Below are 21,301 nucleotides of genomic sequence, written 5' to 3' on the forward strand. Positions count from 1 at the left end.
GGCACTGTGGTTCTAAACACAGCATAATCTTGCTTTATCAGATAACATTTGATTTGCATCAGGATCCACCACATGCTAAACATTCAATTTTGAAACAGTAACTTAAACACCATGTTACCTTTTTTATTTGTAAAGTGAAGATAAAATATTTTAAAATACAAACAATTATTGTGAACATTAAATGAGTTATTGAATATGAAATTTTTCTCACAGCACCTGGAACATAGCAATCAATAAGTAATAGCTGTAATTATTTATTAAAATGTATCCATTTACTGCCTGTAACTAAACAGGAAATGATGTATTATTACTGCTTTAATTGAATTTATGATTATATTTTCTTCCTCTAGATTGTAAACTCTGTAAACTCCTGCAGTGCAGGAACAATTACTTTCAGCCTCTTTGCACTCATGGAGTAACAAAATGCCTGTCACAGTAAATAAATAATATCTACTGAATGAATAAACAACATAAATATATAAACAGCTAGTTTAGGTTGCTATTAGCATTGCGTACCATATATGAAGTGAATGTGCACAGCAGAACTAATTGGGCAGAAAATATTTCCATTATAGTCTGTCAAAACTAAGGCATCAGCACTTGTAACACATATAATGTAAATAAGTAAATATCTGCTTTAATTAATGCTATTGAAAAATTTCTCTTTTCCACCTGAATTCTCTCCTATCAGAATATGGCAAGTAATAAAGAGATTCAGCCTGTGTTGTAAGGGGCTAAAGGCAGATCGTTTTTTTAAACTTAGATTTGGTAGATGGCAGGGAAAGGAACACCAAGACATTTGAAGGAGAGTGATACTTATTTTTTATCACAAAGAAGTAAGAAGAGAAATAGAAAACCTATTTTTTCACCAAAATAGGCCTTCCATATATATGGGTTTAATCAACATATACAAAGTTACATATATTAAGTATATTATATATGAGGACATTGGAGAAGGGATCCCTGGCTTGAAGAATCTTCAAAAGTGTCTATATCGCTATTGTCCAATACAAATACTGTCCAATATGGTAGCCCTAGCTACATGAGGTTACTGAGCACTTACAATGTTACTAAAGCAATTCAGAAAATTAAATTCTAATTTCAATAAGTTTTTATTGACTTAAGTTTAAATTTAAGTAACCACATATGGCTACTAACATGGGACAACACAGGTATATGTTAACTCTAAATCTTCAAAAGTATACAAAAAGAAATAAAAATATCTCTCACAAGTTGACCTTGATTTGGTATACCTTTCCTTTTTCCATACAATTTTAGGAAATTTCAACATTCATAATTTATCCTCAGTTTCCACACCACTAATTAAAGTGATTTTAAGTTACATTTCAGTAGCCAATCTGTCAGTGAGTTGTATGCATGACTCCCCATATCTGAAATTATATTATAATTAACTCAAGGAAATTATTATAAATATGGGGAATTTTTTTCTCAGGAAACTCACATTTCTTTTGAGATGAAAGTACACACATGTGAGAATTTTTTTTTAAATATCAATGTCAATTTTATACAAACTTAAACCTAATCTGATTTATTAGAGACAATATATTTCTGATAAGAAGAAACTCCTCATGGATTTTTTGATAAGAATGTTTTGATAATGTTTCTTTAAATTCAGTACTAGACACTGAATTTAAAGTAAATACTGAGCATCTTTGGAAATGCCAATTCAAATATATAAGCGTATACATTTTAAACATCCATTCTGAGTTATTTAATGTTGCTGAGATCACACAATGAAAACTATTATATCTAACTTCAAATATCTAATTACTAAATAGCAGAAAATTATATGCCTTAAGAAAAAACATGGCCCTTTACATTAGCTATAGAGAGCATCTTACAGTTGTTTTCCTTTGTTTCTGTCTCTGAACAAAAACTATACAAAAAATTGTTAGATTTTAAAGAACTAGAAATACTGAAATTCCAATTTTATATTGACTTTAACCCAAAGTAAATAGAGGAGATTTTCTCTGTAGATGTGAAAAGCAAAGTCTATGACCCCAAGTGAAATCAGATTGCCGCTTTAATTTGATTGAGAAGTTCCAGTTCTGAAGACAGCTGGACACAGCAGAGTAGGAAGTAAGAATTATAAGGCTGATATACTCAATGATCTGAGTTTCCTTAAGGAAAAATAAACTACTTAGAACATGGAAAGAGACACATGCCTTGAAATTCTATAGTGGCTAGCAAGACTACCTCATTATTGTTAATTGCTACATATTATTGCATTATTTATTTTGAAGCACTTTATAGATTTTAAAATTCCTTTCTATATTAAATATTGATGAATGATGTCTATGCATAAAAGGAAACATAAAGTAGATTTTGTTTTATTTTGGTGGGAGGTTGTTAGTCTGTTTTGGTTGCTATAGCAAAATATCTTAGACTGGGTAATTTTAAACAATAAAGATTTATTGCTCACAGTTCTGGAGGGTGGGAAGTCCAAAATCAAAGGGCTATCAGATTCCTGTCTGGTGAGGCCACTTCCACACACTTCACCTTCTTGCAGTGTCCTAACATGGTGGAAAGGGCAAGGGAACTCCCTATATCCTCTTCTATAAAGGTGCTAATCCTAGTCATGAGAGTGAAGCCCTCATGAATTAATCACTTCCCAAAGGCCCCACCTTTTAATACTATCACATTGAGTATTAGGTTCCAGTATATAAATTGTAGAAGGAGAGCACACCAATAGTTAGATCAGAGCCAAAGTAGATTTAAAAATATTTGGAGCATAGCCATATTGTGTGAGAAAATGTTAACTTTTTTATTAGCCCAATTCAATAACAATTTAAATGTAAAATCAACCTATTTATGTAAGAGCAAATTTTAGGTTATGCATATATTACACTAAAATTATGCACTGTGGGTTCAGAGTGATATAGTCTTGTCTTCATTGAAAGCCAGATAAAGTTGGACATGTTAACATTTTTATTTCCTTTGTTCTATAATTACACATTATCATGGCATCATATAGAGAATAACCAAATAATAGAAACTGTATTATTTGATGAAGATGCTATTGATAATATCCCATTAGTAATACATATGTGTTCAGTTTTTCCAACTCATCCGATGTTTGAAGTGTCAATGCCCCTGTTTTATCCATTTATTCTCAGGTATCAAAAGTCAGGGGATGAATGATTGACTATCTAGGTACAGAGAAAGTCTATACATGTGAACCTCATAAAAACCTTAGGAATTTTAGAATTTGGTTTGATTTGGATTATAGTCTGGGCCCTCACTTTATATACAGAAATATCTGACCTCCTCTGTTTGGTGACCAGAAAATGTCTGGGAATTTTCTACTAAGCTGCTGAAGCTGTTATACATTTCAGAGAAAGTTTCAGCAAAGCATACTCCTCATGGCAATTGACAATCTTCTTATGGCCCAACATGGTGGACAAATCACATTAATAGCCACAGACTGATCTTCCCAGAGGAGTCATTCAACAGGGCCCATCTGAAGCCATCCTACTTCTAATCTATTTTGAAAATCAAAGATCCTACCATTTCAGAATTTCTTAAGGTAATTGATCTACTTTATGTTTCCTGTGATATATAGCTTAATCTAGTTTGGAGGTGAAAGATGCAATTAAGAAGGCAAAGTGAAGAAGAGAATTTTGAGATGCAGCACTTTCAGTTTAAAGGGCTATTCGTGACCATAATTGATGCATCAACTAAAACTCTTTCTTTCACCTTTGCAGGGCCTCTATGTTGCTAATGGACAGTGTTTGGATGCATTGTGGTTTCAGGGGTGATAGTCTTTACTGCCTTGAAAGCCAGATAAAGTTAGACATTAACAAAACAGTAACGCAAATTTAAACATGTTAAAGAAAACACAATAATATAGCTCTCTGGTTTTCTGATAATAGCAATTTTGCATTTTTTTCTGTTTTCTAGTAAGTATTTTCAGAAAAAACTTCTTCAGTGAGAGACACTGCTTTCATATGTATGTGTGTGTGTATGTTTAAATTAAACTACTTAACATTTTTAATTGTTAAAAAAGATCCTTTATATTGTTTTCTTCTTGTCAAAGTCAAAACAATTTAATCTGTATATTTAAATAAAAAGTCAGAGCAATGGAAAAAAATTCAAGGCTATAAGGAAAACTGTATCTCTGGCTTCCCACATCCTCCTGTGATGTCTGAAATTGTTCAACATTTCAACCAAGACTGCCTTGAACCATTATCTTCATATCCCTTGTTAGTGAACACACTACCTTCCAAGTCAGCCTAGCATATCCCATCTTTAGACATTTCAGAGTTTTGGAATGATTTTTTTCTATTAAACTGAAACATTTTCAATTTTAACTTGTATATGTTAGTCTTGGTATTGTTTTGGAGGAAAACACAGAACAGATCTGAATACTTTTCCCCTTTCCTGAATACGATATTCCCCTTTCCAAATCTTTCAAATATTTGATGTTTGTAAGCATGAACCTTGTGAATCTCTTCCATAAGCCACATAAAATTTAAAACATTCTACAAAAGTTATGGTTTTTAATTTTCTCACTATGATCTCCTTCATATGTTCCAGGACATTCATACTATATTCTACTCCAGAAAAAATAAACTTTAAATAGCATTGTTGGGGGTGGAGCATAGGAAAGTTCATTATGCTCTTTATGTTTTTACAGAACATTAATGTACTCTCCCTTCCTCCCATTGGGATGGGAGAAGGGGATCGATGGACCCTTTCAGTTCTCTCATCATTCCTTTATTTGCTCTTTCTCAAAGAAGGATTAGTACTGTCAAAGAGGAATTGCACCAAAGTAGTGCAATAGGGGTCAATATTATTGCAACAGAAGAAAGAAATTTAACTTAACTTCAAAGAACCAAAAGGCAGAAAACGTTTTAGGCACCGTAGTGACCCTAGTAGAAGAGTACTTTAGGAAGGTAAGGAGGGAAGTTGGTTGATGTGTTTATGCCTTCTATATTTGCTAACTAGAATTTGTCAAAATTAGGTTCTATCTACCTGCCAACAGAAAATGTGAGATAAGGGCTCTAGCCTTCTGAATAACTACATTTCTTTTATATATTATATATATATATTATTTATATATAATATATATTCTATATGTAATATATATTATATATAATATATTCTATATATTCTATGTATTATATATTATATATTATATATGTTATACTTTGAGTTCTAGGGTACATGTGCACAAAGTGCAGGTTTGTTACATATGTATACATGTGCCATGTTGGTGAGCTGCACCCATTAACTCATCATTTACATTAGGTATATCTCCTAATGCTATTCCTCCCCCCTCCCCCCACCACACGACAGGCCCCAGTGTGTGATGTTCCCCTTCCTGTGTCCAAGTGTTCTCATTGTTCAATTCCCACCTATGAGTGAGAACATGCGGTGTTTGGTTTTTAGTCCTTGTGAAAGTTTGCCGAGAATGATGGTTTCCAGCTTCATCCATGTCCCTACAAAGGACATGAACTCATCATTTTTTATGGCTGCATAGTATTCCATGGTGTATATGTGCCACATTTTCTTAATCCAGTCTATCATTGTTGGACATTTGGGTTGGTTCCACTGTTGGTGGGACTGTAAACTAGTTCAACCATTGTGGAAGACAGTGTGGCGATTCCTCAGGGATCTAGAACTAGAAATGCCATTTGACCCAGCAATCCCATTACTGGGTATATACCCAACGGATTATAAATCATGCTGCTATAAAGACATACGCACATGTATATTTATTGCAGCAATATTCTGAATAACTACATTTCAAAGGAATAGCTCCCAGATCCATGAGAATGATGAGCCTGGAATGTAAAACTGGCAGAAGGCTGAAAGAAGACTTTCATATCAAAGCTGCAGAGAAATAATTTATAATTGCCAGTTTTCTAAAATAAATACGTAGGTGCCTATAGTCAGGAAGGAACCCATCTGAAATTTAGTCAAGCTGTGGGGGAACATTAGACTGGCTTGGTCAATATCTACTTTTGATTGTTAAAAAAGTGGCTTTCATTGGATATGTTGAATGGAGCAAAGAAGGCACTGCAATTTCCCTGATGCCAAAAATGCTTCTTTTACATCAAGCACTTCGTATTTGAGAAGCTGGCTAAATGTGCAGCAATAATGCTCTAAAAGTTCATATTTCTTTCAGATGAGTAAAAATATCTTGACTTTGCAGAAGTATAAGGAAGCCCATCTTGGACTTAAAGTAAAATCTTTGTTTTGCAATGTACCTTGCTCAAGATCCCTGTATTTTGTCAGTTACTGGGCTGAACCTAAAAAACAGGCAACACCTTGATCTTCTTTCTCCTATGATTATTCTATGGATACATTCTTTCTTAGAACACAGAGTGGTTGAGAAATAACAATTGTGAACCTAATGTCCATCAAATGTAACACAGGGAGCAGAATCTCCAGGAATTAAATATCTAAAGAGTAACCTGAAACAGATGAGGGACTTGAAATTGCCATTAACTTGAAAGGAACTGCTGGTAAGAGAAAAGATGCCCCTCAAGAACGCTGGACACTTAACAGAGTGGGGGTATAATGCAAAAAATCTCATGAAATCTGGTACAGCAAACACTATAAATGGGCTAAAACTAAGGAAAAAAAAACAGAAAAAAAGAAGAGAAAAACATATGCCTAAAATATGAGTCAAAAGTCTAGACAGATCCATGTTAAGCTAGTATCATGTTGAAAAAGAGCCTTAATCTATGAAAAGCAACTTGTTTTAGAGATGAATAAAATGTCCATATAGTTTAATCCCGTATGTGAGCTAGCTGTTCAAAAGTCTCAGTAGATACAACACACGCAGCAGGAGCTTCAATGAATATTGACTGGCGTTTGCATTTCTCTAGTACACTTAAGGAAAGAAAATCAAAGGTCTGTAGTGAATATGAGAAAAGCAAAGGAAATAGGAAGAGATGCCTTTGGGAACTTTGATGAATTATTTCCTTTACTTTGAATTCATTAAATCACTAGGGTGGGTAGTGACCTTTTACTAAAGTGCCTGCTACTTATGTGAGGAAGTTCAAAATCAGCATAATGCCTGAGCTTTGGTAGAAAATGTTCTGATCAAAACAAAATAAGACAAAAAAGTGGAAAAGTAAGTAAAGTGAAGATTAGTATTGGAGATGCGCATCATAAATCAGTTTAAAATAAGTTTAAATTATTCAAGCAGCAGAACACAATTTTCAATTGAAAATCTTTTGCTGTAACTAACTGAGGTACCACTGTGCCTCTAATATAAGATTTTAAGCAGATTTGTATTTCTTTGGTGACTATTTTCCAGTTCCTTTGCATATACATAATACATTTGAATGAATATTTGAATAATGGATGTTTGTCTGGAGTAACTTACCTGTCAAAGCCATGACATTGGAAATGGAAATTATTTATTATGGAAATCAAGTATTTGATTGATTGCTATAATACCATTTAATGGAAATTACACCAAATTTTGAGTCATACAATTCAAGTGTAAGCTGCAGGTCCTTCATCTTTTGCTTGGGGAAGGGTGGGATAGAAACATCTATTATATTTTCCCCCTAGGGTTTATATAATGCAGCAAATAAAATTAATCTCTGTATGTACATTTTGTAAAAACTGTATATTGTTTTTCAAATATTAATTGATCATCTACTATTTGCAACTTTCAGTACTTAGAAATTGTAATAAAATATTAAGATATAGTTCCTCTTCTTAAGAAATTTAAATTTAATGCTGGTAACTTTTAAGCAAAATTACAATTACAATGTGATTTGTAATATGATGGAGCCCCAGAAAGAAACAACTGAATGAAATGTTAAGGGTCTAGAAAGATTGCGATGAGTGATATTTTCATTTAGGGGCAACATATATTAATATATTAGCTAGATGAGAAGTGAGAAGATTCTGTAAGGAAGGATATTATAAGAGAGACGGAAGCCAGAATTGAATTGAAAAGGGAAAACAAAAGGAGGGTTTCCATGTCAGCTGAGGAATTTGCATTTGATTCTGAATGGTATGACATTAAAATATTTTAAAAGAGGTGTGGTATACCTAAGTTTACATTTTTGAAAGTTTGTTCTGGCTGTATTACAGGGAACATTGGATCGTCCTCAGCAAAGATGCATGGCAAGGAGGCTCATGGAAATCATTGCATTAATTTAGTAAAAAGATGTTGCTAAATTAGTGCCACAGAAAATGCAGACAGGGAAATTTGAGAATGAGCAAAGCTAGGGAATTGACAGGATTTTGAGGCCACTCAAATGTGAATGAGAGAATAAAAAAGGAGATGTCAGTGTTGCTTTCTTCAAGACTGGGGATAATTGAGAACATACACAATTTAAGGGATGGAGAAGGAGATCCATTCAGTTAAAATGTCTGTGGAATATTCAGGTAGAAATTTGCAGTCGGTGGTGAACCACATGCAAAGGAGAATGACCTGGGGCAGACATACAGTAATGAAATCTTCGGGGAGAACTAAATCATAGAGGAAGAGGGAGGAGACTGAAAAGACTTATAAGCAAACTACTGGGAACAAAAATATTTGGAATGAGGCTGTGGAAGTGGTGAAGTTTTCAAATATCTACCGTCAGTAATGAGAATGAGCATGGACTAGGAACAAGCAGATGATGCACTAATCACTTTTGAGACCCCATTTGTCACTGGCATCCATTCTGTAAGATTTTGTGTCCTATTTGTGTGTTATCTTCAAGACAGTGCCCTGAGCTAGAAAAGGCAGTGTTATTGTACCCTGTACTTTAGATCTGCATTATAGCAACAAAAGATCAAGCAGATAGTGGGTTGAGAATCTGGACAAAAAGGTTGTTGATGTGGTGACCATGAACTTTTGCTGGGATGGAAAGGAGGTAGTGACAGAATTGGGCAGCTGGGCTGGGACAGGGTGGCACATCAGCATCCTGGAGGTCTGGATTGGTTCAAAGAAATATGTAGAGTAGAAAAATATATGCATTGCTGAGATACTTGTACATTGTCATAAAAGTTATGAACAAAGGTGAAACAGAGAAGCTAAGGATTGTGAAGACATATTCAGATTGGCATTTCCCCTCTATAATCCATGAAATACTAGTTAAGTGGCCTGTAATGCACTGTTATTAAGAAAGTTTGACAGATGTAGCCTAAATAATGTTAACTTTATTTTAAGCAACTTCTTTTACAGGTACTATTTGATCTTTTAGCATGGATTTCCAAAACTATTTAACCATTATATCCATTTTGTCTGAATATGTGAGTGATAATGGCCCATGGAGCTCATTTGGAGAAATACTGAAGTAGATCATGTAGGTCAGGTACCAGTGTGATGTCTGGCATAATTTATGCTCAATAATTGCTCCATTTAAAATAAGTCATGCATTTTGATAGGAACTCCTCTGCATAATCTTTTGACCTCATCATATAGGCAATACTAGACAACTGGCTGTGCTTTAGAACTCGCCGTGTTTTTATTTTCTCAGCTGTCACAGAACCTAAAACAGTGGCTTTCACTGAAATTCAGCTCTAGTGGATGAAGCTAAAGTATAGAGCAGAACTGTGCATTAGATGCAGCCTTGATACTTAGGAGCAGAAGGAAATAACCCATATTAGGTTTTTGAAGCTGTTAAGAGTTAAACCATAAAGGATGTCAGGTTAATATTTACATGTGTAAATCAAGATAGTGTAAAGGACTGGGTTAGCTGACACTCCTAGGAAGTTTTCAACAGCACTTACTGAGTTTATCTAAAGGTGATGTTTAATATACTCTAGAGTGGCACTGAGGTAGGTGACAGTTGCCTGTGTCTCATCTAGCCTATCTCTATCAACCTTCAATCACCAAAAAAAAAAAAAAAAGAAATCACGCAAACCTTCCGCATTTTACCTTCTAAATATCCCTCCAGTTGGTTTCCGTTTCTACCACTGACAAAGCAGTGTTAACTACAGACATACTCCAGGAATTCTTTAATGATCTCTTTGATAGTCTCATTTCTAAAGAGCAATTCCTCTTCTCAGTATTTTCTCTCTACGACAGAGATACTTAAAAATGCATATCTTATTATTTAAACACTTTCCACGGCTTCACTCTGTTCTTAGGCCTAAGACCCACATTATTAACATGTTTTATGTAGGCATGACTAGCCAATTATACTGGGACTTCTAATTTCACCCTCCATGTTGCCCTCCCAACAGGACTAATTAGGACTACATTAAGCCTCTTGAATGCACTGGGCCCCTCATTCCTCATGACTCCTTCACATGTTGTTGCCTCTTCTAGTTAAGATCTTTCTCATCTCCTCTCATTCAATGAACTCCTACATATCCTTTAGATTTTTGCAGAAATTTTACTTCATCAAGAAAGTGTTCTCTAATTTTCTTATATTATATTAGGTCCTTGTGTTATAGGACCCCATACCATGTCATAATTACCATTTATAGCTCTTATTGCTATATACCACAAATATTTTATTTTCTTCCTCTCCCGTACCATTGAAATTATTTGGGGACAGAAGCCATGTCTATTTTGAACATTCTTACATCTCTAATAACAAAAAAGTTGTATGCCATGTAGTAGGTTCTCAGTAAGTTATTGTGTAGTACCTGATGAATACATGAATATTATCAATAATGAAACAAGTAAGTCAAACAATGGAACTGATTATAGTGTCACAGAGACTGCAATATTCTGTCATATATTCTCTCTCTTCAGTTTATTACCACTACATACTGAAGAGGGTAGGAGGAAAGTGTCTTGTCAGCCTAAGTAGGAGAATGAGTGCAAGAAAAGGATTTTGGGGAAGACGATCCTTGACATAAGGAAAATAAAATATAAATTTAGTCAATTAATTTTTGTTACTGGTTTTTAGTACTCTTCAAGCAGTTCTTTTCTGTGGATGAATCAAATTCATTTAAAGTGATGGGGAAGGTTTTACCATAGTTACTTAGTAATAGGTCAACACTGTTTTGTTCACCGGATTAGTTAACCAAGCCATTTGAAAATACAGTAAAGAGAGAACATTTGCTGATGTGTTAATATTGTTGAGAATCAACTTTCCTACAGCACTGTGCAAAGTAGTGGATAGCGTGGGGTGTGTGTGTGTGTGTGTGTGTGTGTGTGCATGTTGTACTGAAATGTGAGGGAGAATTCTTTAAAGGGATATGATACTTACAATTAATTTTTAGAAAGTAAGTTTGTTTAATCATGGCTTTCAAAAATAGAAGAATATGCACTCCATTCTTGAATCTGTCATGGAGCTTCCATGTTTGAGTGGCTGAAAAATAAACTTTCTCAATTCTCTTCATAGAAGGAACCAGACATATATGATTTCTATGTCACGTTTTCCTTTTAAATAATTAAATATAAATGGACATTCAGATTGCATTGGAAAATTGGCTACTTTCTCTAATCATGTCTCCTTCCTGAAAAGTAATTAGAACCTTTATTAACTGTAATTTTATTAAATCCTCACAATAGTTTAATGAGTTGGGATCCCTATTACTCCCATCTTACACATGAAGAAATTGAGACTTACAGATGTTATATATCTTATTTAAGGGTACATAGCTAGTAAGTAAGGAGCTAAAGATGGAACATGGAAAACTTTATTTCAGGTATTCTCTCCTGAAGAATGTGAGAACTGAAGTTCAGACGTTTACCAAAACATTCATATTTTCAGCAAACATGTATTGACTGCTTTGTGCCCAGTACTGTGTTAACTAAGCAGCAAGAATGAGAACTGCTTCCTCCAAGGAGCTCATAGTCTAGGAGAAAAAACAGACAACTAATAAGAGGATAATAAGTAGTAGATGCTATTAAATGCATGATGCCCTGAGGGCACATGATCCAAATAAGTGATCTGAATGATGTTTTATCAGAGAATTTAGTAAAGAAATGCAAGAAGGAAGTGTTTAAGTTAGAAGGAAATACGGATCTTACAAGGCAAAGGAAGCAAAAAAAGAAAAAACAAACCATGAGAAGCAATATGGTAGAGTGTCTTGTGTAATGAGAGAAGTTCATTTAGGCTAAAACAAAAGTTACAATTTAGGAAGTAAGGAGTGAGAAAGGTAGAATGTAAGACAAATGCCAAAACTGAAAATGTCTTACAGTATATGCAAATCATGTGGGGCTTTTCTCTGAAGATAATGGCAATTTTAATGTATTTTATTTTTTAATTTTAAACCACCAATTTTATACAAATACTTTTTTAAAAAAATTTAGGAGATCTTTTTCTATGCCTTCAGTGTGAATAGTGTAATGAGGGAATATTAGCGTCAGTTTTTGTGAGAAATTATTGAGATTTTTGCTAAGGGCCATGACAATGTGGAAAACATGTCAGTTTGGGGAGCAAATAAAAAACTCATAGTCAACTGGATTAGAAGGCAATAAGTGAGGGCTATCCTGGGGGCAAAAATGCTATGTCGGTAACTAGCTACTATTTATTAACATATTCAAATGGACATACATGTTTTAGAATATTTTTATCTTTTTTGTTGTTGTTGCTGAGACAGAGTTTTGCTCTTGTAGCCTAGGCTGGAGTGCAATGGCGTGATCTCGGCTCACTGCAACCTCTGCCTCCCAGGTTAAAGCAATTCTCCTTCCTCAGCCTCCTGAGTAGCTGAGATTACAGGCGCCCATCACCACGCCTGGCTAATTTTTTTTTGTATTTTTAATACAGACGAGGTTTCACCATGTTGGCCAGGCTGGTCTCAAACTCCTGACCTCAGGTGATCACCCGCTTCAGCCTCCCAAACTGCTGGGATTACAGCCATGAGCCACCCTGCCTGACAAGAGTATTTTTAAATAATAGTTGGGAATTGTTCTTAGCGAAGTTATTTATCTAATTAAGCAGATATCACCATTCCATGATCTTGTCAACCATTTGAAAGTGGAGGTTAGTTTTGGTGTTAATGGTTTGCCCACCTCCCAACCACCTTGCAGTGTCTCCTCAGGAGGTTTCTGTCCACAAAATAATTTTACGTTTATTTTTGCAATATTTAGATAAATCTTTGCACAAAGTATCTCCAGATTGATGCTGATATACTAAGATCCATAAATATTCACCAGTTCTAACCCAAGTATCCTTTTCCGGATACATGCGAAATCATTGGATGATGTCTGTTTTGCCACCTCCATGTTTCATCAATATCTTACTATCTCCACAATGACCAGAAGAGAAATGCAATTACCCTGTCAGCCATGGCTTGATTTCTGATTTCCACAGAGCTCAAGTTTTACTAAAGAAGACTTCATTATTTTGTTAGGCATAATAGCACAGAAGGAGTTCCAGCTTCCTCCTGGAGCTGCAAACTGCAGCAAGTTGGAGTGAATTTATTTCTGAGGTTTGACAATTCTTCAATGTTAATATATTTTCAGTCTAATTTTGTTATACATTAGCACATGCTCAGAATGTCAACCACCCCCTTATTGCAGATCACAGATTTAGGTTAAGTTTGTATTGCCAAGTGTTTGCTAAAGAGTAAGTGCCTTATGCCTTGCCAAATTTATCGATTTGAGTTTTGTTTGATTTAGCTCAACATTAGAGAAAGTGAGTGCTTAAGGTAACATTGTATATGATTCAGAATAAAATCACAGCAAGTTCCATTAAGTGACTTTTCCCAGACTATATATCATGTATAAAATTGACAATGCAAGTCATTTGTATATTTGGGGTCATTCTACTAATTTTCTTTGCATTGATAAGTGATGTATGAGTTTCAATATGTGGTGGATAATATATTGCAATTTCAAAAATAGAAGCTTCTGTCGGAAATAAGTAAAATTATTTCCAAATACTTGCAGCCCCCTGCTTTATGAAGTGACAGTTTCCAAATACGGGGATTATTTTCCAAATCTGAGAAAAGGGAATATATTTTAACTAGACCAAATGCTACTTAATCCTTATGTAATGTGAGAGCACTGTCTATAACAGACTTTGTGTTTTAAGACCTCATTGACAGAGAGAAGAGAGTGGTGGATTGTTCTGATGACAATGAGGATTTAATAATAAGTGTCTAATTGCAATTTAAACCCTTTTGATAGACTACCTCTTTTCATCTGTGTATGCATATATCTGTGTGTGTACATGTGTGTATGTATGTATAAATGCAAAATGGAGCATAATGTTATGTTCAAATGTTCAAAGGGCCTAATTATTCCAAAATAATTCTATAAATCAGGCTCTATATAAATGCTAGAAGAAATATGTTTTCAAAGGCAGTTTCTGCATTACTAAAGCATGAAAACATTATTGTAAGAATCACAATTAAATAGCACCCAACTCAGGCTGGGTGTGGTGGCTCACACCTGTAATCCTAGCACTTTGGGAAGCCGAGGCGGGTGGATCACATGAAGTCAGGAGTTCAAGACCAGCCTGGCCAACATGGCGAAACCCAGTCTCTACTAAAAATACAAAAATTAGCGGGGCGTGGTGGCAGGCACCTATAATCCCAGCTGCTTGGGAGGCTGAGGCAGGAGAATCGCTTGAACCCAGGAGGCAGAGGTTGCAGTGAGCTGAGATTATGCCACTTCACCCCAGCCTGGGCAAAAGAGCAAAACTCTGTCTCAAAATAATAATAATAATAATAATAATAATAATAATAATAATAGCACCCAACTCTGTTTGGTTAGGGTTTCTTTTTTAAGTAAATGTCAAAATTATACTCTTACAGATTAATTTTCCAAGTGTATCACATCAAATTTTAATTTGTTAAATTAATTTAACAAATTAACAAATTGTTAATTTAAATCTGTAAATTATTAATTTAAAAGTTGTTGGATTAATCACTAATATTTCCTTATTGGATTACATAGAATAAGAAAAATCAATTATTTCTGATATGCTGAATTTTTGCTAGCCAAAGATATTGAATATTTGAGACTCAAGGCAAAATAAGCCATATCTTCTTCTTTTTTTTTTTTTTTTTTTTTTTTTTTTTTTAGATGAAGTCTTGCTCTTGTTCCCAGGCTGGAGAGCCTGGCATGATCTTGGCTCACTGCAACCTCCGCCTCCCAGGTTCAAGGATTCTCCTGTCTCAGCCTCCCGAGTAGCTGCGATTACAGGCACCTGCCACCATGCCCAGCTAATTTTTGTATTTTTAGTAGAGATGGGGTTTCACCATGTTGGCCAGGCTGGTCTCGAACTCCTGACCTCAGGTTATCCACCCGCCTCAGCCTCCCAAAATGCTGGGATTACAGGCGTAAGCCACCGTGCCCGGCCCTGTTTCTCCATGTGTGTGCATGTATTAAGACTAAAAATGCAAAGGTAATGAAATGGTAAAAATAAAATAAAATAAATTTAAGATAGCATTTTCATCTGAATGGAAACAGGGAAATGTAGAGAGTGGCACATTGTTAGAAGCACATTTATTTGTAATGAACTAATTTGTGGGTTCATTGGTTGTTTCACCAAATTTCATTATACTATTCAATAAATACCTATATAAAAAATCACAAAGCTTTCTCTTTTCCATTCTCAGCTCAGAGAAATATAAAGCTTGAAACACCATTGTTCCCACCCTTATAACAATGAAAGAGCTAGACAGACTACAAATTAATGACTTTCTTGAATACATCAAAGAACTGAATTCTCACAACATCCAACCCATCCCCAGTGTGGGAAAGCCAAGAGTCTGCAGGGGAAGTGTCAGGAGCACATGCGTAACAAGGGCAGCTACCACTGGACATGAAATAAGCCAGTAAAAAGAATTCAGCTGAAATGTTTACTTGTTATCGAAGGCCAAGTTTGAGCTAGTGTGCAAATGGAAATCCCTTAGAAATTGCAGATTTAGGGAAGGTTCACACCTCTTATGGACTCTTCTCCATAAACCCCACCAGACACTCACAGGGACGATTAGAAAGACTCCTAAGGAATCATGCCTTTTGATACTAGCTAGAGGAAGAGCATAGCTGAAACTGCTGAAACTTTGCCTAGAATCATCTCATCTTCCTCCTCTATAGAATAAAGGTATTGGTTTTCAGATGAAAAGACAACAGATTTTCACCTAAAAAGCCTGGTAGCCCACTGAAGCTGGGTTAAGGAAATAAGGGCAATAAAAAAGCTCTGTCCCAGGGCAAAAGGCATGAATAAGTGCTAAACCCACCATTACAGGTGGAGAAGGGGCCTGAGTAATTGTTAAAAAAAGAAAACCTCATCAGATTCTCAGACATAGTGCCTGCATAAGACTTAGACTAAATCAGAACACAAGAGATTATTTCTAAATCTCCCGAGTAGCTGGGATTATAGGCACCTGCCACCATGCCCAGCTAATTTTTGTATTTTTAGTAGAGATGGGGTTTCACCACGTTGGCCAGGCTGGTCTCGAACTCATGCCCTCAGGTGATCCACCCGCCTTGGCCTCCCAAAGTGCTGGCATTACAGGCATGAGCCACCGCACCCGGCCCTCTACTTCCAACAAGAATTGGGTAAAATAATAGGAATACAGAGCATCAAGAGACAAATTCCTTTTGAAGTGCCAATGAAAAGGGAAAAACAATGGGCAAGGGATACCAACAAACAAGTGTCCAGCCAGGGAAGTCTCTTCATGCCCTCAGGCCTGACACCTGCCTCCCCACAGTTAGACACCCAGGGCCCAGCCTAGGAAACCCCTTCCTTTACCTCAGGCAGCAACAGCAGGGTAGCTAGGTGTCTGCAGCAGCACCAGATAAACCAAACACATCAAATCATACCTCAAAGGCTCTGAAAACATAACTACTTTTGAAACCATAGAATAGGCCAAACCTGCATGCCAGAGCTAAATAGAGTGAATGTCTGCTAAAATAAAAGATTTAAATATGACCCATCTTCTCCTAACATAAGTCAAAACAACTAGGATACAATTCAGAATTACCACACAAAGCAAGAAATAAGAAGATAACAGCCTGAGTGAGAAGACAATCAACTGACTACAACACGTAGATGAATCAGTGTTGCAAATTAATGACTTTAACAATTAAGTTAATTTAAGGAATTAAAATTTATTTGAAACAAATTAAAAGTAGAAAATCTCAGAAAATAAATAGAAGTTATAAAAAACAATAAAATGAAAACATTGATAAATTGGACTTGCAGTGGGTTGAATATTGTTTAAAAACAATACAGAATACAGAAACCTCAGAAACCTATGTATGTATGTGGTAAAATTATTTAGAACTAAATACACACACACATGCAAACACATAGATACATACACACAAACACAACAAAGCTGCTGAAACTGGAATAAGATTGATAGATTGTATCAATTCCAGTGTCCTGGTTATGATATTACACTACAGTTTTTAAAAATTTCATCACAGGTGAAAATGTAGTTTACACACGATTTCTCTGTATTGTTTCTTTTAACTGTATGTGAATCTATACTTAAAATTTTAAGAAAAAATTTAATAAAAGTGGGTAAAAGATTTGAAAATAATTCAAAAAAGGAATAGCTTTCAAATATGTTTGACATTATAAGAAATCCAAGAAATGCAAATTTGGAAAATAAAGCCCCGATGCCGTATTACTCTGTAAGTCCTAGAATGATTAGAACTTAAAAGTTTGGCAACACCAACTATTACTGAGGATGCAGAACAATGCATATGGTCTTGGAGAGGATGCAAAAGTGAAGTAGGAGACTAGCAGAATTTGTCTGCTGTTCACAACCCTATTGACTAAAAAAGGATCTGGTTCAGGTGGGATGAAGCAAAGAAACCAGCAGGAATCAGCCAATGGTGACTGAAGGGATCCCCAGCTGCCCTCCTTACTCATTAGCATGACACTCCTACTGGCACCATGATAGTTTACAAACACCGTGACAACAACTCAGAAGTTACCACCCCTTTCCTAGAAAGATCCAAATAACCTGCCCCTCAATTTGCATTGACCCACCCAATAATTTACTTGCAATTGAAAGTGGGTTTACCTGAGTATAAATATAGTTGTTAAGAGCCTGTATGTTACCAACTCTGCGTGCACTGCCTACGAGTTAGCCCTGCTCCACAAGAAGCAGTACTGTTTAATAACAGATTGCTGTCTAACACCACTGCCTTGCCCTTGAATTCTTTCCTGGACAAAGCCAAGAACTCTCCCAAAGCCCCAACTTCAGGGATTACCTGTCTGCAACAAAAGGATACCACAACTTTTGAAAAGGGTTTGAGATTTTCTAATCAGTTAAACCAGTAGTTCTTAACTGTGGGCTAATTTTGCTTCCCAGGAGACATTTGTCAATATCTAGAGTTATTTTCATTTGTCACAACTGGTAGCAGGTGCTACTGGCATCCACTTGGGTAAAGGACCAGGTTGCTGCTAAACATCAGAACTGCTTCCCACAACAAAGAATCATCTGGCCCAAAATGGCAAAGTATTGAGGGTAAATTCCACCCCTACGTGTTAACCAAAATAAATTTTAAAATTATATATTCATAGAATACTTGTACACAAATTTTCATACCAGCTCTACTCATAATAATTTAAAAACATAAAATAGCCCATATGGCCATTGTTAGATTCACAGGAAATTATAGTGTTTTCAAAAAAAAAATCTACTCAGAGATAAAGTGGAATAAATCACTGATACACAAACAACATAAGTTTCAAAAATTTTATGCTGAAAGCCAGACACAAAAGAATACCTACTCTATTCATCCCATTTTTATAAAATTATAGGACAGACAAAATAAATCTATAGTTACATAAGGTAATTCTGTAAATGCCTTCCGTTAAAGTGAGATAATTTACTACAAAGTTGTATGAAGGAACTTTTTGGAGGTATTGCAGGTGTCCTATATGGGCATATCTTGGAGATATTGTGAGATTGGTTTCAGACCACTGCAATAAAGGAAATATCACAATAAAGCGAGTCACACAAATTTTTTGGTTTCTCAGTGCATATAAAAGTTATATTCGGCCAGGTGCGGTGGCTCAAGCCTGTAATCCCAGCACTTTGGGAGTCCGACGCAGGCGGATCACGAGGTCAGGAAATCGAGACCATCCTGGCTAACATGGTGAAATCCCGTCTCTACTAAAAATACAAAAAATTAGCCGGGAGTGGTGGTGAGTGCCTGTAGTCCCAGCTACTCAGGAGGCTGAGGCAGGAGAATGGCGTGAACCCAGGAAGCGGAGCTTGTAGTGAGCCGAGATTGTGCCACTGCACTCCAGCCTGGGCGACAGAGCAAGACTCCACCTCAAAAAAAAAAAGTTATATTCACACTATGCTATAGTCTGTTAAGTGTGTGATAAAATTATAAAAATAACATATACACATTAATTTTAAAATATTCCTAAAAAATGCTAACAGTCATCTGAGCCTCCAGTGAATCATAATCTTTTTGCTGGTGGATGACCTTTCCTCAAAGTTGATGGCTGCTGACTGATGAGGATGGTGGTTCCTGGAGGGCTGGGTGGCGGTGGCAATTTCTTAAATTAAGACAGCAATGAAATTTGCTGCAGCAATTGACTCTCTCTTTCATGAAATATTTCTCTGTAGCATTTGATGCTGTTTGACAGCATTTTATCCACAACAGAACTTTTTTCAATATTGGAGTCAATCCTCTCAAACCTGCCACTGCTTTATCAAGTTTATATAATATTCTAAATCGTTTATTACCATTTGACAATATTACAACATCTTTGCCAGAAGGAGATTCTATCTCAAGAATCTGCTTTCTTTGCTTACCTGTAAGAACCAACTCTTCTTCCATTCAGGTTTTACTATGAGATTTCCACAGGTCAGTCAAATCTTCAAGGTCCACTTCTAGTGCTATTTTTCTTGCTATTCCCATTACATGGAGTTTATTTTTCCACTGATGTCTTGAATCTGTAAATGTCATTTATTAGAGTTAAAATTAACATCTTGCAAATTCTTGTTAATTTTGATATTTTGACCTTCTCTCATGAATCATTAATGTTCTTAATGGTACCTATGTGTCCGGAATTGGTAGGTTCTTGGTCTCACTGACTTTAAGAATGAAGCCGCGGACCCTCGCGGTGAGTGTTACAGCTCTTAAGGTGGCGCGTCTGGAGTCTGTCCCTTCTGATGTTCAGATGTGTTCGGAGTTTCTTCCTTCTGGTGGGTTCGTGGTCTCGCTGGTTCAGGAGTGAAGCTGCAGACCTTTGCGGTGAGTGTTACAGCTCTTAAGGCAGCACGTCTGGAGTTGTTCGTTTCTCCCGGTGGGCTTGTGGTCTCGCTGGGCTCAGGAGTGAAGCTGCAGATCTTCGCGGTGAATGTTACAGCTCATAAAAGCAGCGGGGACCCAAAGAGTGAGCAGTAGCAAGATTTACTGCAAAGAGCAAAAGAACAAAGCTTCCACAGTATGCAAAGGGACACAAGCGGGTTGCCGAGGCAGGCTGGGGCAGCCTGCTTTTATTCTCTTACCTGGCCCCACCCACATCCTGCTGATTGGTAGAGCCGAGTGGCCTGTTTTGTCAGGGCGCTGATTGGTGCATTTACAATCCATGAGCTAGATACAAAGGTTCTCCACGTCCCCATCAGATTAGTTAGATACAGAGTTTTGACACACAGGTTCTCCAAGGCCCCACCAGAGCAGCTAGATACAGAGTGTCCATTGGTGCATTCACAAACCTTGAGCTAAACACAGGGTGCTGATTGGTGTATTTACAATCCCTGAGCTAGACATAAAGGTTCTCCAAGGCCCCACCAGAGCAGCTAGATACAGAGTCTCGATTGGTGCACTCACAAACCTTGAGCTAAACACAGGGTGCTGATTGGTGTGTTTACAATACCTGAGCTCGACATAAAGACTCTCCACGTCCCAACCAGACTCAGGAGCCCAGCTGGCTTCACCTACTGGATCCCGCACCAGGGCTGCAGGTGGAGCTGCCTGCCAGTCCCACCCTGTGCGCTGGCACTCCTCAGCACCTTGGGTGGTCGATGGGACTGGATGCCGTGGAGCAGGGGGTGGTGCTCGTCGGGGAGGCTCGGGCGGCACAGGAGCCCACGGAGGCGGAGCGGGGAGGCTCAGGCATGGCAGGCTGCAGGTCCCGAGCCTTGCCCCGCGGGAAGGCAGCTAAGGCCCGGCGAGAAATCCAGCGCAGCGCCGGTGGGCCGGCACTGCTGGGGGACCCAGTACACCCTCCGCAGCCGCTGGCCCGGGTGCTAAGTCCCTCATTGCCCGGGCCGGCAGGGCCGGCCGGCTGCTCCGAGTGCGGGGCCCGCCAAGCCCACGCCCACCCAGAACTCCAGCTGGCCCGCAAGCGCTGCGCGCAGCCCCGGTTCCTGCTCGCGCCTCTCCCTCCACACCTCCCTGCAAGCTGAGGGAGCTGGCTCTGGCCTTGGGCAGCCCAGAAAGGAGCTCCCTCAGTGCAGCGGCGGGCCGAAGGGCTCCTCAAGT

The 21,301-nt window shown here is 37.2% G+C and overlaps 1 long non-coding RNA gene across 1 annotated transcript in view; it reads right to left on the reverse strand.

Moving 5' to 3' along the window:
- Positions 1-20,289, reverse strand: part of LOC105374832 (uncharacterized) — a 55,455-nt gene extending 35,166 nt beyond the window's left edge. The window contains exons 1-2 of the long non-coding RNA XR_940305.2: positions 19,871-20,289; positions 19,627-19,767 (exon numbers count right to left, since the gene is read on the reverse strand). This is a non-coding gene — a long non-coding RNA (uncharacterized LOC105374832). The remainder of the gene's footprint in view (positions 1-19,626; positions 19,768-19,870) is intronic.
- Positions 20,290-21,301: the final 1,012 nt, after the last annotated feature.

Source organism: Homo sapiens, chromosome 2 (genome assembly GCF_000001405.40).
Source record: "Homo sapiens chromosome 2, GRCh38.p14 Primary Assembly".
NCBI classification, from domain to species: domain Eukaryota; kingdom Metazoa; phylum Chordata; class Mammalia; order Primates; family Hominidae; genus Homo; species Homo sapiens.